This window comes from Homo sapiens, chromosome 1, assembly GCF_000001405.40.
Source record: "Homo sapiens chromosome 1, GRCh38.p14 Primary Assembly".
NCBI lineage: Eukaryota > Metazoa > Chordata > Mammalia > Primates > Hominidae > Homo > Homo sapiens.
In genome coordinates this window covers 209101330-209125486 of record NC_000001.11, presented here as the reverse complement: position 1 = coordinate 209125486, position 24157 = coordinate 209101330, and the positions used below count along the sequence as shown (strand labels likewise).

Sequence of the window (24157 nt, the reverse complement as noted above, 5' to 3'; positions counted from 1 at the left end):
GTGGAGCAAGACAAAATAAGGAGATAGGGAAAGGAGGAATATAAATCTGCTCAGTCCAGAACTTTTGGAAAAAAGAATGGTGGGGGAGCCTAGGAAGAAGGGTATGTATTTGGCTGCAGTTTCCCTATGGAATATTTTTCAGGATTCCAAGCAATGGAGGAGGGGGTAAATGTCCAGTCAAGGTGAAGTTAACACCCTATGGACTGGGAATTCCTCAATGATCTCTGCTCTTTACATTTCTGTTGATAATGCCAATCCCATTGCTTTAAGTTTGACAGTGGAAAGCAGACCTTCTTTAGGAGGAGTACCCACTTCTCAGAATCTTTCATTTTTTCCATACTGCTCCTAAGTTTGAAAAATTAACTTCTCCTGAGATGGATAATATAGCCAGTCTAAAGCACCTTAAAATCTACCAGCTTATCAAAGAGTTGTTTTTGAACCAATCACTTAGGACTCTGTATTAGTTTTCTATTAATACTTTAACAAATTGCCACAAACTTAGTTACTTCAAGTAACACAAATGTACACAAATGTACTTATTTATTTGTTTATTTTTTGGAGACAGAGTCTCACTTTGTTGCCCAGGCTTGAATGCTGTGGTATGATCATGGCTCACTACAGCCTTGAACTCCTCAGCCCCAGTGATCCTCTCTATTTCAGTCTCCTGAGTAACTAGGACTATAGGTACACACCACTACATCTGGCCTTTTTTTTTTTTTTTTTTGGATGGGGTCTTGCTGTATTGCCCAGGCTGGTTTTGAATTCCTGGCCTCAAACAATCCTCCTACCTCAGCCTCCCAAAGTGCTGGGATTACAAGCATGAGCCACTTTCCCCACACTCACAAATGTATTATCTTATAGTTTCTTTAGCTCAGATATCTGAAATGGTTCTCACAGGGCTAAAATCAGGATGCCTGTGTTCTTCACTGGAGACTGTGGGAAAGGATCTGCTTCCAGGCTCATTCAGGTTGTTGGCAGCTTCCTGTGGTTGTGAGACTGAAGTCCCTGTTTCTTGTTGGTTGTTGGCTGGGGGTCATTCTCAGCTCTTAGAGTCCAGCCACATTCATCAAAACCAGCAATGGTGGGTCAAGTCCTTCTCACCGTTCATATCTGTCTGTCCTTTACTTCTGCCTCATTCTTCCTGATTCCCTTTGTCACCTCTATCTCATTGATTTCAGAGGAAGAAGTTTCCGAGCTTTTAAGGGCTCATGTGATTGCACTGGGCCTGCCTGGATAATCCAGGGTCATTTCTCTGCCTTGAGGTCACTCTTTCCGTGTAATGTAACATATTCACAGGTTCCAGTATTTAAGGCATAGATATCATTGGGAAGAGATATGGGGGCAGGCCACATCCTGGGAGGACAGTGGTGGGTATCGGCAACTGAGAGGAGCAAGAAGGTGTTGGTCTTCTGAGGGGTTGAGAGATGAGGCTTTAAAACTAGAGAGTTCCAACTGGAGGCAGAGGTGGTGGAGGATAATATTGCCTTCTTCAATGTGCCTAAGCTGCTGTTGCTGAGGAAGTCAATGGGGTATGGAGTGGGGTTGATCTCTGGAGCAATCAACTTGCCTGAAGATTGTGTAAATCTCTATCCAGCCTCAGATAGGCCAACTGTAGAAGACAAAGCAGGATTTGGGGGATACTGGAGTGAATGACCTGCTGGTTCTAAGGCACAGGTTTCTGGCCATCTGTTTGCTTTGCTGGCAGTCCTAGTCGTCTGGCTCTACCTCTCCACAGCACTGGCTCTGCCTCTCCACAGCACTGGTTTTGTTGGTGCTGGTTTTTAAGAAGCTCTTGCGTACCCCATGTCCATGCTGACTTCCCTCCCTGCATTCTACTTTCTCCTAAGGGAGCTCTGGTGTGGTCCTGTCATTGGAGGCTAGGACACTGGGCTTAGCCACATGTGGTACACTGGACTCTTCATTACATTGTCTCCCATTTGCTCACCCCACTTTTTAGCCCAGTCACTACTAGGGCAGCCAGCTTCACGCAGGTGCAAGCTGACATCTCTTTACTTGCTTTCTGCCTCAGGATCATCCAACACCATGGTGGAGATACTCAGAAATTAACTGGAATCTACATGTACAATTTAGAAGTGAAAGGGAGTTATAACCCATGGAATAATCTTGGGCAAATGAGAAATGGGAACTTGAGATAATGCTCCCCTGAGGGGATGTTTCTCTTCCCTGAGGGGGATGTTTCTGAAGTGCATTCTATATTAATTCCTTAGAGGGTCCTGATGAAACTAATGCCCAATTTTCCATAGAAGTGACCAGCTCTTTGTACTGGCTTTTTACCTTTGTACTGGCTTTTTACCTGTCCCAATTTTATTCTGCTACCTGACTTCTGTTTTCTGGAATCACTTCCCAAAATAAATTACCTGCATGCAAGCCCTATCTCAGCTTCTGCTAAGGCATGTGCCAACTGTATTAGTTGGTGAAGCAGAGGAAAACCCAAGTCAGGATAAAAATATTTTAATAAGACAAAGCTCAGTCTTTCTTTACAATACTCACCTATGAGTTGGAAGCCAGGCCTGGGAAAAAATAGCCGGAGGCATCTCTTACCACAACACCTGGCTTTTGGGGAGATCCATAGCTCTGTAATGCCTTTTAAACAGCAGGCCAAGTTGTAGATGACTTGCTTGTGTAAATAAAAGAGGCAGAGAAGCATAGAGGCGGCATAGTACTAGTGTTGTCAACAGCTTATATGGATATCTTGAGGAAACAATGTAGAGAGCCTATGATATATCAATTAGTAAAATGAATTGATTGTTGTATTTTAAGCACGCTATTTGGAAGAAATTGGGAGGAGGCAGAATAGCGGCAGAATCTTCATACATCTTTTGTCTTTAAAAATGTGCAATAGGAGCTTGGGAATGAAAAATCTTTAGGGATGCTTAAAATGCCAGGCAGCATAAGGCTAGAATGAAAACAAACACAGTAGAAAAGAGGAATACTAGGAGGAGGACTAGGCCATGAGTGAAATATATAATTTTAAAGTACTGGCTCTGCTTCTTTTCCACCTGTGAGACCTTGTTTCTAGTAGCTTAACATAACTGAACTGCAATTTTCTTGTCTGGAATTTGGGGATAGATAGTAATAATTTTGTCCTGATAGATATGTTGTAAGAATCAAATTTTATATATATATATATACAAAAATTAAAATAAGCATACATTTAGTGAGAACCTACTATATATCAGGACTTCCCTGGGCACAAGGGAATAAAGAGATGAGTGTGACATTCCCTTTGAGGACCTGCCAAGTTATGAAGAAGACAGAGACAGGTGCAGGTATGACTAAATAGAAGGCAATGCTATTAATGGAGGAAAGAAAAATCTGAGAAATCTAGAAGAGAACCAATCAATCTTTCTGGGTGTAGAAAATTAGCAGTTGACATCTAAGCTAGAAATTGGTAGGTTTCTTTAGGCATAGCAAGAAGTGAAATAGGAGGGAAATGGCAAGGGCATTCCAAGAAGATAGAAGAGCAGAACTAAAGGCATATGATGTGCAAGTTAGAAATAGAGAATGAAGAAGTTAGTAAGCTTGTTTGGAACTTGCTAAATTCAAAGTTTCCATAGTGCCCCCAGAGTGTAATTGTTCAGTGAGTAGTTGGAATCTAAAGTCAGAGACTCAAGTGAAGGGATGAAGCTGGACATAAGAACTGCTCAGAGAAACTGAGTGTGTTGAGTGCAGCAATGATCGGCTCAAGAAATTCGAATACTTAGCAGATAGGGAAAGGAAGATGAAATAGGTTGTCAAATTAGGTGTTTTGACTGAGACATTAAAATACAACAGGTATAAAGAAAATTACAAATGAGATATCAGATCACCAGGCAGAAAAGTAAACTAGGTGTTTGAGGATGTTTTGCTAGTTCTCTCACCAACAAGGAAAATATAAAAGATCTAAAGAGATTGATAGAATTTCTAATGAGGATTTCTTTGAGAAAAATTGGTTCTGTGATTCCCAGTATTTTTCATCAAGTCTTGGGAAGGGACTTCAAAGGAGATCACTTGGAGAGCTTGATATGTAAACCTTGTATTAAGAGTGGGAGAACTATTGATTGATATCTAATCTATGCCTAGGGAATCATACAGTGAGAGAGAGGCCACCTGGTCTAGCCTCTGGTAGCAGGACAGTGGGAGATTATTCTTCCTTCTGAAGGTGTGTTTAAGATGCATGGTTCTGGAGAAGGGATGTGGAACTCATGGTAAAAATATTAGTACAATGTCATTTAAAAATTATCTTGACCAAGAAAATTTATGTCAGTGTTCTATTTGGAGGCTTCAGTAGGAGAGCCTCCAAAAAAAATCTTCTAATTTGCTCATGAGAGGAAGAGTCAGCCTTTTAATTTCTGCCAGACTCTGAGATAACAGAACCACCTTAAGACAGTACCAGTCAGGGTAGAACTTTGGCATTGTTTTCCTCTCCTCCCATGGCAAGTTTAAAAACAGCGATTAGGAGGAGGTAAGAAAAAGAGCAAAAGTGAATCAAACCTCCTTTCTTGAAGGTAGTTAATCTGCTTTCAATCATGCCCTATTTGGGGCATAAGGAGGGGAATAAGGGCTTATGCTTTTGAAGAGTTATAACTTTGAATGAAGATTTAAGTACGAATTAATATATTAAACTAGAACTTTCTAATGTCCAAACTGAGACTTCCTGACTTAAATCATTCTTCAGCTTTATTTATTTCCCCAGGGTGACTGCCCAGCTTTTTATTCAGGAAACGGAAAGGATATCTCCCAATAAAAAAGTATAAATGGACAATGAAATACCAAAAAGAAATTGCATCTCACAAGTTGTGTGGTATCAAGCCTTTATATGAAGAGGATTCCGACAAAGAGAGCCTAAAAAGCCAGAGAAGTCAATGAGATTAGAGTTGTAAAAACCCAGAAAATGAAAAGTATCAAGCATAGTACTAGAACAGGAGACAGATGTTTTCATCCTGACAATGAGCACAAGCTGGATAAACTGTAAAATCATAATATTCTTTTTAAAAAACCATCATCAGAGATCAGTGTATTCTAGATTAAGTAAATCTGGAAAGAGATGAGCCCTTTCTAAGAGAGAAGAATCTCATAGCTGCTTTGATTGCTAGGGGCATGGTGGAAAAAGGAGTGAACCTACCATGAAAGAGGTAATGAGAAGCCAGTCTATTTATTAATGAACTTTTCAAGGCTACATGTGGACTGTCATGACAGGCCAGAATTTGGAAGCCCTAATTAGTCATAGGAGAGTCTGTACGCACCCACTAACTCTTCCCATGGACCTGCACCGAGTGTACCTGGGCACTGTCCTAAAAAGGTGTGGCCAGGGCAGAAGAACTGAGAGAGATTTCCCCCTTGGCATAAGGGGTCTTTTCTAAGAGCAAAGCAGGGCACAGCTGGGCACAGAGCAGAAGAGGTGAAAGGAATGTCTATAAATTTCAGGCAGGGCATCGTGGCTCATGCCTAGAATCCCAGCATTTTGGGAGGCCGAGGTGGGAGGATCACCTGAGGTCAGGAATTCAAGACCAACCTGGCCAACATGGTGAAACCCCATCTCTACTAAAAATACAAAAATTAGCCAGGCATGATGGTGGGCGCCTGTAATCCCAGCTACTTGGGAGGCTGAGGTAGGAGAATTGCTTGAACCTGGAAGGCAGAGTTTGCAGTGAGCTGAGATCGAGCCACTGCACTGCAGCCTGGGTGACAGAGTGAGACTCTGTCTCAAAAAAAAAAAAAATATATATATATATATATATATATATATTTCAGTGGGCCTTTTGGGCCTTTTCCAAGTACAGTATGGTGGTCCAGTGAAGGCTGGGAACAGGCCTGCAGAAGAGAAGATAGTTCTTCTAAGATACGGTGAGCCAACATTAGAGCTTGAGAGCAAAGAAAATTCTTTGGTGACTGAAAAAGTTGTCAACACGGCTGGGAAGGAGAGAGACAGCCCATAATTTGGAAAAATAATGCCTAAAGAGATCTACAGATTATCACAAGTACACAAATTCTGAGCACTGCTGGAAGGAAAGGCCTAATCCCTACTTTCAATCATGCCCTATTTGGGGTATGACGAGGGGAATAAGGGCTTATTTTTTTCAAGAGTTATTACTTTGAATGAAGATGTAAATAGCAGTTGACATATTGAACTAGAAATTTCTAATGTCCCCCAAAATAATTGAAACCATTAGTAAGCTAAATATAACCCAGTTGCTAAAAATCTCAAATCTTGCTCAAGTGCAGATTACATTCACTTTGCCCTCAAACTCTTATCAGCCTGGGATGGAAAGAAGTATACTTTTTTTTCTGGGAGGAAATATCATTTATTTCAGTCTTTATTGTCCTTTTACACATGATGTCTTATATACAATAAAAATTATAAAACATAGAAGGTAGAAAATGTAAGCCATAATAAAAAAAACAGTCAGTTGGAGACCCACAAACGGTTCCGATATTGGAATTAGCAGACAAGGACTTTAAATAATCCATTATAACTGCATTAAATATTTCAACAGAAAAAAAGTATAAAAAGAACCACCTGGAAACATTAGAAATAAGAAATACAACATCAGAAGAATTCATTCAATGACCTGAACAGCAGTCTGGAAACATGAAAAGACATTATCAATAGAAATATAGAAAACTGTCCAAAGTGAAAATCAAAGAGAAAAGATAACGGAAACAGAACCAAACAGAATGTCTGAGACCTGTCAGACAATATCAAAAGGTTAAGAATACATATAATTAGAATTTCAGAAGGAGAAAAGGACAAGATACTAGTGCAGAAGAAATATTTAAATAGATAATAGTCTAGAATTCTTCAAAATTGATTAAAAACATCAACTCATAGATCCTAAAAGTTTAGCAAACTCCAAAGTGTAAATAAATGATACAAATATGTCATAATCAAACTGATGAATACCAAATATGAATGGAACAACATTAAGAATGTTGGCTGATTATGCCAAGTGCACTTATTAGAAATAATGAAGGTAGGAGGCAATTAAATAATATTTTCAAAGTGCTGAAAGGAAAAAAAAAGCCTGTCAACCTAGAATTCTATATTTATTAAAATTTTCAGTCAGATAAGAGCAGAGATAATTCGTCTTCAGCAGACCTGAACTACAAAAATAACATAGGATATTTATCTGATATCAGATGGAAGCTGGTTTTTCAAGAAGGAATGAAGAGCTCTACAAAGGGTAAAACCATGGGTAAATGTAAAAGATCTTTCTTTTTAAATTGTTGTAAAAAACTAATTACTATTAACGCAAAAATTTGTAACAATATAGGGTGAGTGTGAAGAACTGACCAGCTCTGTGATGTGTCTTGTGGGATTAGGGCCAAGTATTCAACCGGGGTAGTAGAGTCTAGTAGGGTGGGGCCAAGGAGGCAAATCTGGGTGATTAGAACCAGTGTGGCTGTGGCCAAGAGAGGATCTGAGACTGGTTAAGTGAAGAGAGATTGGGCACATAAGTAAATATTTTGAGTACAGTGGCATCCAGTTTTTTACTATTAAAGGACAAAGTTACAAATATGGCTGGGCATGTTGGTGCATGCCTGTAATCCCAGCACTTTGGAAGGCTGAGGTGGGACGACTGCTGGAGCCCAAGAGTTCTAGACTAGCTTGGGCCACATAGTGAGACCCCATCTCTAAAAAAACATTAAAAAATTAGTTGGGCATAGTGGCATGTGCCTGTAGTCCGAGCTAGTCAGGAAGCTGAGGTGGGAGGGTTTCTGGAGCCCAGGAGGTCAAGGCTGCATGGGCCGTGATGACACCACTGCACTTTACCCTGGGCAACAGAACAAGACCCTGTCTCAAAATGAAAACAAACAGGGAAAGAGGGGAGGCCACAATAAACTCTAAGTGTTGGATTGGAATTTACGTATTGGTGTGAACTCATGGTTTTACATCTATCTGTCTATTTATTTACCTACTTATGTATCTAAAAAATATACATATAGACACAAAATAGAGATGAACAGAAATAAATGTAGATGTAGGTGTGTGTGTATGAGTATTTATGAGGTTTGCCCATTGACTGGACCTAGAATCAATGACACTCAGGAGCAGTAAACACACTTAGATCTTGCTTTCTAAATACCATTTATCCACTAAAAGAAACCAGGACTTCCTAAAGACAATCATTGTGTTTTTTGTTTGTATGTTTGTTTTTGTTTCTTTTTTTTTTTAGACTTGGTGTCTCCCTCTATTGCCCAGGCTGGAGTGCAGTGGCATAATCAGATTATGTCTCCTGGGCTCAAGTGACCTTCCTGCTTCAGTCTCCCAACTTGCTGGGACTACAGGTGCATGCCACTATGCTTGGCTAATTTTTTTATTTTTTTAGGGATGGGGTCTTTCTGTGTTGCCCAGGCTGGTCTCCAACTCCAGGTCTGAAGTGACCCTCTCACCTCCACCTGGAAATAATGATGATTGAGCTGAGTCATGGAAAGTACAAGATGTGTCTGCAACACTTTCATGTGTTGGAAAGTAAGAAAGTGCTCAGAGTGATGGGGATATGACAGAAGGATATAAGAATCTGTTCCTTTGAACATCTACTGGCCCAATTTGGAACAATTTGAACATAAAAATAAATAATGGGTTATGACTTACTCAGCAAAAAAGAAATCTGTAACCCCATACTAATATAAACAATTGAATGGATGGATGAGAAGAGATAGTTCTACCTTGGAGTAAAATGCCAACTGATAAGTGTTGAAGTAATATAGGCATTAGAAAAATCACCATTTTTCAATCACCGTAATATTAAATGACTCAGACAAGAATCACCAATGGATGTTAAAATGTGTGGGTAAAAGTTAGAATAAGAGCAAGATATTTTTGTACTGCCAAAGCGTTTCTCCACAAATTACTTATTAACCAATAATTACAAAATATGAATTAACTGTATAGTGAAGCTAGCTGGTAAACTCCATTTTAATCAAGTTAATATCATCAGTAATTGGACAAATAGACATTATGTGCTTCCTGGTATGTTTCATCATGATGAATACAGCATATATTTTGTTATATTCATGCAAAAATATATAAGCTGAATAAAATTATGAAAAAATATCAAACAGATCCAAATTGAGGGCTATTTTACAAGGCAACTGGCTGTATGTGATTATAATTTTTCTTTCTTTTTAAAAATAGAAGCAGTCAGAGGAGCTGCCAGCTTCCATTCCAGTATAATATATAAATGGGATGCTTTCAACAGGACAAGATGAAAGGGAAAAGAGTTAGCCAGCATCGGCAAGCTTTAGTAAAGACCCCTCTTCTCCCTATACATCTGTAACATCAATTAGAGACTTGCTTTCTAGCTAACTCCTTTTTTAAGACAAAATCCCTTATGAAAGTTAAACCTTATATTCTCACCTTAGTATAAATTTCTTTAATCAGACAATTAAATTGCTTTCTTTTGAATACTTAGAATCACGAACAGATTTTTTTTTTTTCATTTTAATTAATTTTTTTGGGTGGTAATAGTGACTCGGACCATGTAACACTTAGGAGAGAAAATTCAATGAGAAAGTGGGGAAGCTTTGGGAAGCTGAAGGGGAGCTGAAAAACACTGCTCCCTGAAAAAGTGAGAAGGATAAGGGAAAAGCTGAAGATTGGAAGAAGAGAAGGCCCAACCAAAATTTTTCCTTCGTGTAATTTTGTGTGTGTGTGTGTGTGTGGACTCAACTCTTTGTCTTCATCCGCTGAAAAATCACCCAAATGACCATTGTCCTATGGGATGAAGGTAATTACCAATTCCTTGAACAGAACTAATAGCCCGTCAAGATAGTTTCCCAGGAAATAAATGGCGAGGTTGCAGCAGTCACTCATCCAATCAGAGTACTAAAAAAAAGCCATTCTCATCTGGGAGGAGTTGTTGCCCTATTAGATATATGTGGCTGGAAATGTTATCTCGGTTGCAGAAAGATTTTACCAAAAAAAACCCTGCTTTTGTTTGTTCTAATGCCTCAGAAATCTGTCCCCCATGCTATCTGATCATCCTGTGGCCAATCCCTAAAAGGAAAACTGTTCCAGAATGGGATATGAGCCACTGAAATCTCAGATAAGTAAAAAACAATATATACAGTCACTAAATAATGCTTCCAGTAAGTAGGCCGTAAGAGAGAAGAGGTTGCTCTTATCAAACAAAGGCTAAGAGAGAGAGAAACAAATTTAGAATGTTTTGCCATGTCCATGTAGCTTTTAATTATATTGTCTTTTCAGATTCTAATACGGCAGAGAGGACCCATGTTGGAATGGCTGTGGCCAGTTTTCTACAGAGCCACCCTCTATATTGTTCAGTGGGACCTCACATGGCAGAATAAAGACCTATAGTTATAGGTGACAGTTCCAGCAATGCAATTTACTAAATGAGAATGTCATAAATGCTCTAGTGCTAAAGAGATTCATGTTAGGATGCTGAAGGTTGGAGAATAAATTTAAGTGTCATTTGGGGGTAGGCTTGGTGACCAACTAATCTGTTGGCCCAGGGCTCTCCTGTTCCGTGTGTTGAACAGCCCCTCCGTTCCAGGCAAACCTGGACAATTGATCACCCACCCAGCAGACCAGGCTTGGTGATTTATAAGGCTTTTTTCAAACCCTAAAATCCCTTTATTCTGATGCATGTATATATAAGTCCAGTGTTGCTTTCATGAACTCTATAATAGAAAACAATAATGGTGTCATTCACTCGGCCTAGAGGGCAGAGTGATAGACTGGGAAGTGGTCGTTCTACCAGTAAACCACTGTGTGACCTTGGGAGAAATCTGTCCTCTGTGAGTCTTTTTTTTTCCTCAAAGAGAAAAAATTCACAGGAATCTTTTATAAGATTCTTTCCAACTGTACCACTCTATGGCTTTTTCCTATGCATTTGAAGTGTTTCATGCTAGTCTTGAGAAGATGCTCTTGCATACCAATTCTCCATTTACCTGTGTGTTTAAGGACAGGGAGGGTGCAGTGAAGGAGGTGAGGAATGCAAGAGTGTAGAGATAAAAATAAGGTGTAAAAAGGACAGCAAAAAAAGAAAAAAAAAGAAAAAACATTCAGAGCTTTTATTTCAAGGAATCAGAGGATATATTATACATCTATTCATTTTCTATCACTGAATTCCTTTTGGGGGCATAACAAACAAAACCTCTCCTTCCCCCATTTTAGCTACAGAGAGAAAAAGGAGTTTCTCTAAGGCTACACAGTAAATTAATGACAAAGGTAAGACGTCGAGTTTATGTCTCCAGGACTGCACTATTTACCTGCCAGGCTGTGCTGCCTATGAAGTGTCCCTAACTAAAGTACCTGCTCCCTTCTCTTTTCATTTTTGAACCAAAGAGGGAAGCATTATGTCTGATAAAAGAAAACATAGTAGATAGGGAGTAATTTTCAGGCTCCTGCTCTTCTCCCAACTCATTGTCCAACCCTTGGCATTGTTGACAATTTCAGATATGGGTTAAATACAGCAAGGGGAAGTCAATGCTACACCTTAAAAATTAATTGTTCAAGTACTAGGTCATTTCAGAGTAATGCACCGTGAAATTATGTTATTCTCCAGAAGAATTTCCATAAAGTTTAACATGCCATGACACATTCTTTTTCCATTGGAGTTAGTTTTTTAAAAAGTACATAAAAAAGAGTCTTTGGAGTCCAGGGGTGTGTGTAAACCTTGCTGCAGACAAAGCAGAATGTGTTAGGCAGGGCTTTCAGAGCAGCAGATGCTACAGGATCGCTGCTAAGGGAGACTCCATTACCCAAGCATTGCCTATAAAAGCACGGCCTGGGCTGGTATCTGCGGAGGCAAGCGCGGAAGAAGTCATTAGTCTTGGTGCTTTTTTACTGTTATTCACACTGGGATAATGAGATTATTGGAATATTTTTTTTTCCTAATGAGAATGAGACAGAATACCTTGGTCTCTAAATGATTTAGTCACAGAGGGAACACATTACTCTTCCCTTGATTGCTGTCAAATGCTGGAAAATTGGAATATTATATTTATCGTGATGGGCAATATTTTTCCTGCCTTCTAGGTGTCAAATGAGCTGGGAAAAATATTTGTCTGAAAAGCAGACTCCTTTACAAGGTTTACGGAAAGGAAGACAAATGAAGATGCAGGATAAGGATCTGGGGGCGGAGGTTAGAAGGATAGGATAATTGGAGGATGGCTTTTCGCTATTTTTTTTTTTCCAACCGTAAAACTATCCCCTTGTTTTGATTTCCTACATTCTTCTCTTCCAGTTAGCTCACCAGTGTTTGGGGCTAATTAGACACTGTTTAGATTCAGAATAGAAGGTTAATTTCAAGGGGAAATGGGTTTGTGTTGGTCTGGAGGTCATTAGTGCAGCTAGTTAATTTGTGTTTCTTGGGAAGGAATAACATTCTGGGGCTGGAGAATTTTTTTTGTAGGGGGAAGTAAGAAGGATTTTTCAGTCTTATTCTCAAGAACCTTTCACTTGATACTTGTCAGCTCAAAGTTTATGGGGCCAATACAGACTAATTGGTTGGCCTGGTGCAATGAGTTTCAACACTGGTCATATATGGGTGGCTTCGCAGCCAAGGTGAACAAAGAAATCCCGAGTTCTAACTTCTGCTCCTGCCCCACCACCAAACTTCTTCTCCACGAAGGTCAAAAACATCTGAAAAACAGACAAACAAAAAATTAACAAGTAAAATATTTCATGCTGTCATTACGTGCTGGCTTTCAGAAGGCCATCACCCTGTTTCTACATCACAATAAGAAATGTTAGTGTTCTTGATGTAACAGGTGGAAGAATCTTACAGCATGAGCATTAGTCCTCTGATTTGCAGATACCACTCTTTATTAGATTCATTCAGAGATCTTATAAATAGAGAAATTTCGGCTCACCCTCTGTGGGCTTATTCATCTGTATTTTACAATTTCCCAGAAAATTTTGTTGCAGACTGTCTTCAGTATTTGGGAATGAATGAAATCCAACAGACATGTTATTATAGAAGAGGGCAGGGCTTCTTAGGAAGTAAATTGACTTGTCTAAGACAACACAACTAACAAGTGACAGAGCTGGGACTTGGTCTCATAGCTAAGGGTGGTGGGATTTGCTTGATCCATGCTGGATCCTTGTTCTCTTAATGCCTCAGTGGTCTGGTCTCTTCCTTCCTCCCTTTCCTCATTTAACAGTGTGGCATGTGAATTGTCAGTAATTAATAGTTCTATGGCGTTTGCTGACATCTTCCTTTGTGCCTTCCTGTGAGGCTCTGAGACATAATCCTTACTCTTAAGGAACAATTAGATTTGCAGAAACAAAACACATAGCCATAAACATAAACTATGATGGCTTTTATAGGGAAAGGAGATGCTCTAAATGCTTAGGATAGTTGAGGAGGGGGCCAGATATAGACATAGAAGACAATGTGGAAATGAGATGCATGATGTGGTCAAACTTAACACCTAGAAGCTTCTGGAAGCAGTTTTACATTTCATTATCAACGTATCTGTCATTGTGTATCACAATGTCTTCTGAGATCAAGGATTGTATCTTCTTGCCATGAATCCCCAGAAAGGTAAAATTCCTTAGTTCCCGGAAAGAGGGCATTCATTTAGCATAGATAAAATTGTCAAAATCCAGCTCCTCCATAAAATTTCCCACCCCTGGCTAAGAACCTCTCCTTTGAAATTCTAAAACCTACCTCTATGGTGAATGTAGTAAAATCTAACTTATAATATTAGTATTTGTGTCTATAATTTAGCCCCAACTGAACTGTATGCAATTTGAAAGCAGAAACCATACATCTTGTTCATTTCTGTATCCCACTGCTGAAGATTACTAGTGGGTCTTGCCTGTAATTGGTGCCTGATCTCTTTGTATTAAATTAATAAAGCAGGCAAAAAGTGCCATGGAAGGGAACCCCCTAATGCAGTGAATGGTTCTCTACTGCACCCTGACATATACCTCCTGTCTCAGTCTGTTTGTGCAGCTATATAACAGGATACCACAAAATAGGTAATTTATAAAGAATGGACATTTATTTCCTCACAGTTTTGGAAGCTGGGAAGTTTAAGATGAGGGTCTGGCATCTGGTTGGTGTCTTCCTTCTGCATTGTCTCATGGTGGAAGGCAGAAGGGTGAGAGAGAGTAAGAGGGGTCAAACCCACTCCCAATATCATAAAATCCCTCCCAACATAATGCATAAATCCATCCATGAGGGCAGAATTAAATTTCAACATGAGTTTTGCAGGGGGCAAACATTTAAAACATTGCACCTCTTTTGTCACTTGCCACTTCTTTCTTTTTCTGCTTTGATGTCTTCCCAAGAGTCATTGCAGGTTCTCAGATGTCTTACTTGTCTCTTTTACCTCCTTCTTTGCCTTATTTGTTTTCCTTGCTTAGAGTCACCAACAGAAACATTACTTAGTCCATTAGTGGGTCTATAAGACATAGGAAAAAAAAAACACAAAGTGTTTTTCTCTACGCTCACACAGTCACTATAACATAGAACACTTTGCCTCTGGTCACCAAAACACATGGGGGTTTTTCCCCACGCACCAACCAAGCAATTCCATAGCAGATACTAGCTGGGTATCCTCCACAATGCAATTCAATTGTGACACTATCTACCTGGAGAAAGTGTCAGATTCCACAGGTTGAAGGCTGAGTCCCACAAGACTACCCCCAATTTCAGATGCTAGTTGCAAGTAGCAGATTGACATTTTATACTTTTGACCCACTTGTTATAAATCAGGGATTCCCATGACCCTTTCTTGTTCAATTAATTTGCTAGAATGGCTCACAGAACTTAGGGAAAAAGTGTACTTACTTTAACCTATTTAATATAAAGGATATTACAAAGGATACAAATAAATAGCCAGTGGAAGAAATGTTAGGGTAATATATGAAGGAAGGGGCTTGAAGCTTCCATGCCTTTTCCGGGGGCACCAGCCTGCAGAAGCCCCCACATGTTCAGCTAGCCAGAAGCTAGCCAAACCAGGTCCTTTGGGGTTTTTATGAAGCATTATTATGCAGGCATGATTGATTAAATTATTGACCATTAGTAATCAACTTAGTCTTCTTCCTCTCTTTCCTGCCAGGAGGTTGGGTGGTGGGGCTAAAAACTCAATCCTCTAATCATGCCTTGGTATTTTGAAAGCTATATAGGGGTTGCCAGCCACCAGTCATCTCATTAGCATACAAAAAATCACTTTTCTTATTCCAGAGATCCCAAGGGTTTTAGGAGGTGTGGGCCAGGAAATGTGGAGAAAGAGGTCCAAATATATATTTCACAATAACATAGTAGGTCAGTGGTCCTTACTGCAGCTGAGGATCATGATTAGGTTTAGGAATCTAGCATCAGTTTGTATCAGAATGCAAATAACTTCCTGGGACGTGAGAGATAGTGTATTCTAGTCATGCTTAGTTAGCTTCAAGATAGCTTGCATCTCATCCCAGTAAAACCACTTATTTATAACATATCAACGTATTGACAAGGTTGAAGAGCAAGATTGTTCTGAGGTGAGATGCAAATTTCAAAGGGGTGAGCACTAATTGTTCCAGTGATTGTTTATTTATTGGCTAGGACATAATTACTCTCTTTGAGGTTACACATCTGCCTCCAGGTTCCTGTGTGCTTGTGCCCTTGGGATCAGGCCAGGGCAGACTGTGATCACTGAGATTCAAACTCCCAGAGTAATCAGCAAGAGCTTTCTAGAGACCAAGGCCAGGCCTGATCCCTGAGGGATGCATGAGAAGGCTTGGAATCTCATTCTGCTATGGTGGCTCTCTCTTGATCTTCTTGGAGTAGCAGAAACAGCAATGTGGGCCCAATGGTGTGGCCTAAATGATCACAAAGGTAAATGAGTAAAGGGCTCAGCAGATGAGTAAGGAGCCTTGTCCTGAGAAATTAGCACTGGGCTCTGCATTCAGAAACATGTGATAAGCATTGCCCATTGCACATTGCCTTTATTGTGTAAGGACATGAAATTCCAGTTTTGCATAGCTAGTGATGAATACCTGAAGGGAATTGCAGACATATTTTATTTTATTTTTAATTGACAGATGGAATTGTATATATTTATCATGTACATAATCATGCTTTAAAATATGTACATTATGGAATGGCTAAATCAAACTAACCTAGGCATTATCTCATATAATTGTCATTTTTGTGGCGAGAAGACTAAAAATCTACCCTTTCAGCATTTTTAAAGAATACAATGTGTTTTATTAACAACAGTCACCATTTGGTACACTAGATCTCTTGAACTTCTTCCTCTTATCTAACTGAGATCTTGTAACCTTTGATAACAGCTCCCAAGCCCTTCCCCAACCACTGCTCCACCCGTGGTAACCACCATTCTATTCTCAACTTCCTGGTAATCACCATTCTAGACACAGGGAAGACTCTCTACCCTCTGAGGGTTCAATATTTGAGTCTATGAAATAAACAGACAGTAGGCAGAGTAACAGGAGAAAAAGTACACAGTAGTTCCAGCTTATCTTTGATTTTTCTTTCTGCAGTTTGTTAACCTCAGTCAAAACATCAAATGGAAAATTCCAGAAATAAACAATTCTTAAGCTTGAAATTGCATTCCATTCTGAGTAGCATGATGATACCTTGTGCCATCCCACTCTGTCCTGATAGGGACATGAATCATCCCTTTGTCCAGTGTATTCATACTGTAGATGCTACCTGCCCATTACTGTATGGGAAAATATATAGAATATATAGGGTTCAATACTCTTCACAGTTTCTGGCATCCACTGGGGGTCTTGGGATGTATTCCTTGTGGGTAAGGGGGGACTATGATACAAAGGTATTACACGCATGGGGGCATCACATGAAGGAAAAGAGAATACCCCAAATCCCAGTGAGATCTAGAAGAGTATACACCTTCTTTGTAGGAGAGAAGGCATGGGGGATGTAAGCGACTTAGCCTAGTTTAAGTGATTTTTGGAAAAGGTGAATGGAGCCAGGCATAATGGCTCACACTTATAATCCTAGTACTTTGGGAGGTTGAGGTAGGAGGATTGCTTGAGGCCAGGAGTTTGAGACCAGCCTGAGCAACATAGTGAGACCTTATTTCTACAAAAACATTAAACAATCAGCCAGGCATGGTGGTGTGCACCTGTAGTCCCATCTTGGGAGGCTGAGGTGGGAGAATTCTTTGAGCCCAGGAGATGAAGGTTGCAGTGAGTTATGATTGCACCACCACACCATAGCCTGGAAGAAAGAGAGAGACCTTGTCTCTAAAAAAAAATTAAAAATAAATAAATAATTAAAGATGAATAGCCCTCCAGAGAAGTAGGTGACAGCCTGTGACAAAGTCTGTCTGGTCCTGGCATCAACCTCCCGGCTCCTCTGCTGTGATCTGAGTTTAATCTTCCTTGGTTGATGAGATTCCCTGGGAGGGCATTCATGACAGTTGTGCTCCTCTTGGAGGATCTGTCTTTAGGTACATTAAGGAAGTTCAGAGGAAGCCCCTTTCTGCATTTACTATTCCTAAGTGCCCTCAGTTTTAAGTCTAAAACAATACATTTTGGGGCGGCATTTTCTGAATTCCTTCAAGATCAACTTTTTTAGATTCTGCATATGAGTGAGACCATGCAGTATTTGTATTTCTGTGCCTGGCTTATTTTGAGAGAAGAGAGACAGACCCTTTCATGTTGTTTTATCCTCAGAAAAGGCAAGAGAAGCAAAACTAAAGGCAGGTAGGCTGGCGCCTAGGAACCAGACCCGAAACCAAGACCTGAAAACCAGACCTGAAACCAGGCCTGGGCCTGCCTGACCTAAGCCTGGTAGTTAAAATTCGACCCCTGACTTAGCAACTGATGTTATTTATAGATTATAGAAAGACATTGTAAAACTTCCCGGTCTGTTCTGTTTCACTCTGACCACCGGTGCACGCGGCCCCTGTCACGTACCCCCTGCTTGCTCAATCAATCATGACCCTCTCACGCGGACCTCCTTAGAGTTGTGAGCCCTTAAAAGGGACAGGAATTGCTCACCTGGGGAGCTTGGCTCTTGAGACAGGAGTCCTGCCGATGCTCCCGGCCGAATAAACCTCTTCCTTCTTTGACTCCGTGTCTGAGGAGTTTTGTCTGCAGCTTGTCGTGCTACAATTTCACATAACAAAATATGTTATAGCAGACTCGTCTGACCTCCATAGATCCAGCTGCAGAGAATAGACCCCAGGTTCTGTTCCTGGGTGGTAAGCAATCATTCCCAGGCAGTATGGCTGGGATCACTTTGGACTCCTCCAGAAACCACCACCGTCCTCAGGATCAGGAAGGATGAGACACTTGGACCTTGTCCACCCTGTATAGCCTGAACCCGGGGGGGGTCTTCAACATGGAGATAGATAGATAGGTCTGATTTTTCCAGCTGAAGCACACTTGCAAAGGTCAGCACAAAGCCAGAAACCCAGTAGGTTCTGCCAGCCGCAGCAGACAGTGCCCTGCAGGAAACTTGGTTTTGGGCCTGGGGTGACTTTTGTTTACACTGTTGTCTTACTTGGCTGGGAGCTCTCCCTGGGAGAGTGAAGAGCTGATGCAGAGAAATGGCCGAGTGCGGGAGAAATGGGTTTCCACCAAAGTGATTTGCTCAATTTTCTTTTTCTGTATATCCTTATACATTTTAAGGCAGATTTATTGCTAGTAAAAGTGCTGGCTGGACAAAGCTCTCTCATGCTGTGCGCTTGCTTTTTCTTCTCCTGAATGTTTTTAAACCTCTCTAGGTGTTTTGTCTTTTTGACATAGACTGGCAGAGTAGGCATCCTGGATTCCCGGTTCACGGCTGTAGGGGCTTTGCTGGCTTGCTGGCTGCCCAGCCTAGCCAACTCCAGCCCTGCAGGGCCCACTCAGCGGGCGTACAGCACCAGATGGAGAGAGGGAAGGCAGACCCAGCAAGAATCCTCAAGAAGAGGAGCTAGCATCCCGGGGAAGAAAAAGATCGTGCAGGACCAGTTGGACAAGAGCCCAGCTCTGAGTAACTCCCTGCATTCAGGGAAAATAAAATCACAAATGAGAACAGCAGGGGGCCAAGGACCAGCTGGAGACAAAAGGGTGTTAGCTTCGGGGTGGGGGCTGTGAGACAAGCAAGGTTCTAGTGAGATATTCCAAAGTCTGGCCTGCCATGGACAGCTGCCATCCGAGCTGCAGGCCTGGAATGTTGTCACAAGCTCACCGAGCCATCCTGTCTGCCTCAGCCCAGGACCCGGAAAGACTGATGAGACAAGAAAGGCCTTGGGCTTCCTCTTGCCTCCTGCATCTTTTAGCCTTCCCTGAACAACCCTGGCAACTTAGCAGCTAAGGCCAAGATCCCTTCCCTTAGGCAACTGACAGCAAAAGGAGGAAAAAGAGGAGGAGAGGAAAGACAAGGAGGAGGAGAGAAGAGAAGGAGGAAGATAAGATCCTGAAGTTTCCAGACCACATAAGTTTCAGAGCAAAGGCTTCTCCTCACCACCCTCATTCCTGAAACACTAACTCCCCACCAGCAGCTGAAACGGTCTTTCCGGAGGGTTATGAGCTCTCCACATTTCAGAACAGTGAATAGAAATATAAATCAATAGGAAGGGGGTGGCCTCAGCCTGGCTGTCCCTGTCCTGTTGGGCATGCCACTTGCTCTGTCTCATCCTTGATTAGCAAATCATCCCTGCCTGCATTCAGACAGAACTTTTCATCCTGGAAGATCACAGGCCACGTGCCAAGTCAGAGAGCATCTCTCTGCTGCCTAATAAGGCACAACTCAGAAGATTAAAGACTTCTTCCTCCTCCACCCTGCCCAGAAACAAGAGGAACATGAGTCCCATTTAGTTATTTCTGTGCATTAACTGGTGATCATTGCTTGATCTGACTTAAGGCTTTTGAGGCATTTTCCCACCTGGATAAAGATAGGGCTTGAAAAAAGGAAGCCCCAGTGTGTGGAGGGGGTTAGGCTCTCTTAAGCATATAATGCAATATGCATGCACATTCATATTCATTGTGTGTGCATACAAATATATGCATACACATATCTATGTCTATATCTATGTATAAATGAAACCATTATACATTTCAAAAATTTGTATAATGCATTATATTACAAAATAAAAGTATATGCATATCTTTTATCACATTTGTTGTGATTCACATGCCAACTTTGCAAGATACATATACCATTAGAACCCTCATTTTTTAGAGGAAATTAAAGTTCAGAGAGGTTGTTAGTTTTTTGTTTGTTTGTTTTGGTTTTTTTTTTTTTTTTTTTGCCTTTTTCTGTCTTAAAAATAAAATAAAGTACTAACTTTCTTCCCTAAAACTCTCCCTCTTCTAATATATACAGACACTATCCTTTTTGGCCTTTCATACTGTTTTCTTCCTCTGATGCATGTGGCATCTTAATCATTCTAACACCAGGGGTGGAGAAATGGAAAAGGAAACAGCATGACAAAATACTTCTGGGCCATTCTGGAATTAGTGATATTTTTCAGGGGTCATCAATTACCTTACTTAACGGGAGATCTCACATTATAAAGAGAAATATAATTAGTGGCAAATGTGCTGAGATATATAAAGATAGATAGGCCGCCCAAGGAATGGGAGCTCATCAATTTTTCCAGGTTCCATCAGGAGGGCAGTTGTTTGACTGCAAGACTCCATCCAAGTGATTGCAGAGCAAAACCAAGCATGCTCTGAGCGTTGCCAATGCTTGAAGGAAAGAGCAGCTGCTGAAAATCAGCAGGTGTGTGTCTGGTCTACCCTTGATTACCAGGCACTTCACCGATCCTGCCTGTGTCTCAGTTTCCTCCTCTATAAAAGGGGGCCAAGAATGCCTATTTATCCTGCTTTTCTTGGGGCTCTTATGAGGCTTAAATAAACTCCATAGATGTGAACTTGCTTTGAAAATTAAAAATCCTATATGCATGCAAAGGAAGATTAGGAATATTACCATCATTGGGCTGGATCTTCCAGAATGGATAGGATTTGACTCTCTGGAAATATGTGTGGGAATATCAGCTAAAGGGTGCAGCATGAGTAAGGCAATGACCGTATACATTCGTTCAGCTATAACATAGGATATTTAATCAGAAAAGGAAAATATCATATCCAAAATGTAGGCTGAAGCAAGAACATACATGGAAACTTGGGAGTTTCAGCTTTTTTCCACAGCAAACACTGACTAGTCCAAGCAGGGAATAGTACGATCCAGGCAGTTTTGCAGGAAGACAAAGCTGGAGGTATAAGGTAGGAGGCATTTGTCGGGGGGGGATTAGTTAGGAAGCTAAAGTAAGAAACAAGGGACACCTACCCAGGGGCATCAGATGTGAAGAAAAGAAGCATTGTGGGAGAAATGCTGGGCAGAACTAGCAGGAGCTGGAGATAAGGGGAGAAGAGAGGAATCAAAGATTACTTCAATAATAGGAGTCTGGGCACCTGGGAGGATGGCCAGTCATTGACAAGAGTGCAGCTTGAGGGGCATGTTGGGGTGCAAATAGGGAGCAAAATAAATGTGATACTGATTTGAAGGTGCTGATAGAACCAACCGCTGAAACTGCTGCAAATACAGTCAAAATTGCCAGGATAGAGCTCAGAAGATGGGTCAAGGCATTTTGAAATCATTAAGAAACGGGAAAAGCCGGGAGGGAATGAGAAGAGACAGGAGAATTGAGGGAAGATTTTCAGGAAGTTTATCGGAAGGTGAGGCAGATGCCTGGACTTAACTTGCTTGCTGAATTTTATGCTTTCCTTCAAAACTTTTTACCTTTCTCCCAAGATAAGAAGGAGTAAAGGAGGATAAGGGGGGGAAATGGTATTATCTCCTTCTGCGAGGAAGCAACTTACTGTGCACAGAAGTTCCCAGAGTGTTTACTCATCCTGGTCCAATTCCTCCGTGGTACGTGGCACAGGGGCCTGGGGTCAGGGCTAGTGGTTCTGTCCAGCCCACTAATGCCACGGTCAGGCACTCTGGCCTTGGGGAAATCTAGGAGATTACTCTGTAGCTAATTAGGAATCGCTCTTGAGGATCAATATGATAGTTTTGATTGCCTGTGACCACAGCCAGAAAATTAGCTCTTCTCTGAGAGTATGGATGGTCTGTGTGGCTGCTTTGCTAATAGAAAGCTACATTTTTCTTGACTAGAGTGTTTTTCAAATCAGCAGCTTCTAGATATGGGGAGCCATCAGCTTGCACCTGTCTTCCCTGAAACACAGTCACAGGCTTGACACTGTCATAGGAGGAAGGAAACTAATTGAACCAACAGATGGGAAACTACAGACACATGGCTTTTCATTTCGTGGCTAAAAACTCCACCCCTGATTTACGATGCCAAAAATGGCATCTTGGCTTCGGTATTTCCCAGTGCCTGGGTCTTATTTTCATTGCATTGTTTATTTCTGTGCATGTGCATGAGTGCTTATTTTTGAAATCTCAGACACGTTTTACAGGAAGAGTATTGGTATTTCAGAAGTCATTGATGTTTTGGGTTATTGTATACTAGGGATGTGGGTCATTGCTGAACAACCTGACATAAACATCATCAAGCTTGCAAACCTGTTTTCAAGTGTGATGTTCTAAAGTAATATTTATAGCAAAATTATGACCTCAAGGCATCTAAATGTGATCCATTTTTAAATCTCATTTTTTCCCTCTGAATCCTTCAATCTAATTAGGCTCACATCAGTATATTATTACGGAGAGTAATCATTCCTTTCTTCTAATAACATTCATGGATAATTTTATTTCTCATTTCCAGCCTCCTACTCCTGTGGTGTAATTAGTGTCGTTGGCACCTCGTGATGCTCAGAATGAGTTGCAGCTGCTAATTGCTAATTGAAAAATTAGAAACTCAGTTAGAAAAAGGATCTAATTAAAATGAAATTAGATAAAATCCCTTCAAACCAGCTCTCCCCTCTCTCACTTTTCTTTGTTTTTCTTTTCCCCTTCTGCCTTCTTTTTTTTTTTTCCTGCAGAACGATTAGCACTTGCAAAATATGTGTAATTGCTGAAAGCAAAATACCTTTCCCTAGTGGGCTATACAATGGCCTTTAAGAGGGAATTAGGGAGAGGTTTATAAAAATTGAATTAAACTTCGGAACGTGTGCTTTCTTTCTACTCCTGATCTATCCAAAAGTATGAATTTGACCTTATCAATAAGATCTCCAGGCTGTCTAGGAAGGACAAATGTATGGTCAGCCCTGTGTGTTTTTTTCTGTGTGTTTGGAAGAGTTGTTGCCAGCCTCATGATTGTGAGGGGTAGGGATCCACTCGCTTTCTTGCTGCAAATCCATTTCCATCCTCTTATCTATTGCATCATCTCACCTGACAATTATCTAGTAAATGCTCACCCTCTAGGAGATTCAAGTATAAACCAAGGCTGCTTCTGCCTCCAACGTACTTACAACCTATTGAGAAGTCTAGACAGATAAGCATAAGAACAGACTAAGAGAATATATAATCAAAAGCAAAATAGCATTTCAGATATGTGTGATATTTAGGTCAAGTCTTCAAATGTTTTTGAGCCCCTCCTTAATGTATGCCAAGCACTGTACTACAGCCTGGCCATAAAAAATACACACTACAGGCCGGGTGCAGTGGCTCACGCCTGTAATCCCACTGCTTTGGGAGGCTTAGGTGGGCAGATCACCTGAGGTCAGGAGTTCGAGACCAGCCTGGCCAACATGGCAAAACCCTGTCTCTACTGAAAAAAAAAAAAAAAAAAGCCACAAAAATTAGCCAGGTGTGGTAGCAGGTGCCTGTAATCCCAGCTACTCAGGAGGCTGAGGTAGGGAAAATTGCTTGAACCTGGGAGGCGGAGGTTGTAGTGAGCTGAGATCACACCACTGCACTCCAGCCTGGGCAACAGAGGGAGACTCCATCTCAAAAAACAAAACAAAACCAAAAAATCACAACAACAAAAACATACTACATTGCTCCTACTCTCGAAGAGTTTATATCTGGATAGATGTGAATAAGTGATTTATAACATTGTATGATGAAGGCAATGATAACAAATGCAGAAGCTGCCAAATTAACGCAGAAATATGGGTAATGAGTTTTGGTAGGCCAGAGGGAGAGGACTTCAGGGGATGCTTTATGTAGAGGAGGTGACACCACTTACAAGAAGTTCAGGATGAGTAGGAGTTCACCAGTCGACACGCATTTTAGACGAAGAAACCAGTTCCAAAAATCAGACACAAAAAGCAGCATAGTAACTTTTGGAACTGTAAGTGATT

At 40.9% G+C, this 24157-nt stretch overlaps 2 long non-coding RNA genes across 3 annotated transcripts in view, besides 1 other annotated feature; one reads left to right on the top strand and one right to left on the bottom strand.

Annotated features, from left to right (window-relative positions):
- The window catches only part of LOC107985255 (uncharacterized), a 313794-nt gene that overhangs the window by 7762 nt on the left and 281875 nt on the right, over positions 1-24157 (top strand). The window lies entirely within an intron of this gene.
- LOC105372895 (uncharacterized) lies at positions 11023-22213 on the bottom strand. The gene is made up of 3 exons (XR_001738440.2): positions 21767-22213; positions 17954-18061; positions 11023-14379 (listed from the first exon to the last, which is right to left on the bottom strand). It is a non-coding gene; the product is annotated as an uncharacterized LOC105372895 (long non-coding RNA).
- Positions 17776-17825: an enhancer, noted in NCBI's record as "active region_2465". NCBI's record gives its function as "activates an Ori minimal core promoter by ATAC-STARR-seq in GM12878 lymphoblastoid cells {active_cell/tissue: GM12878}" and the evidence as "EXISTENCE:reporter gene assay evidence [ECO:0000049][PMID:35858748]".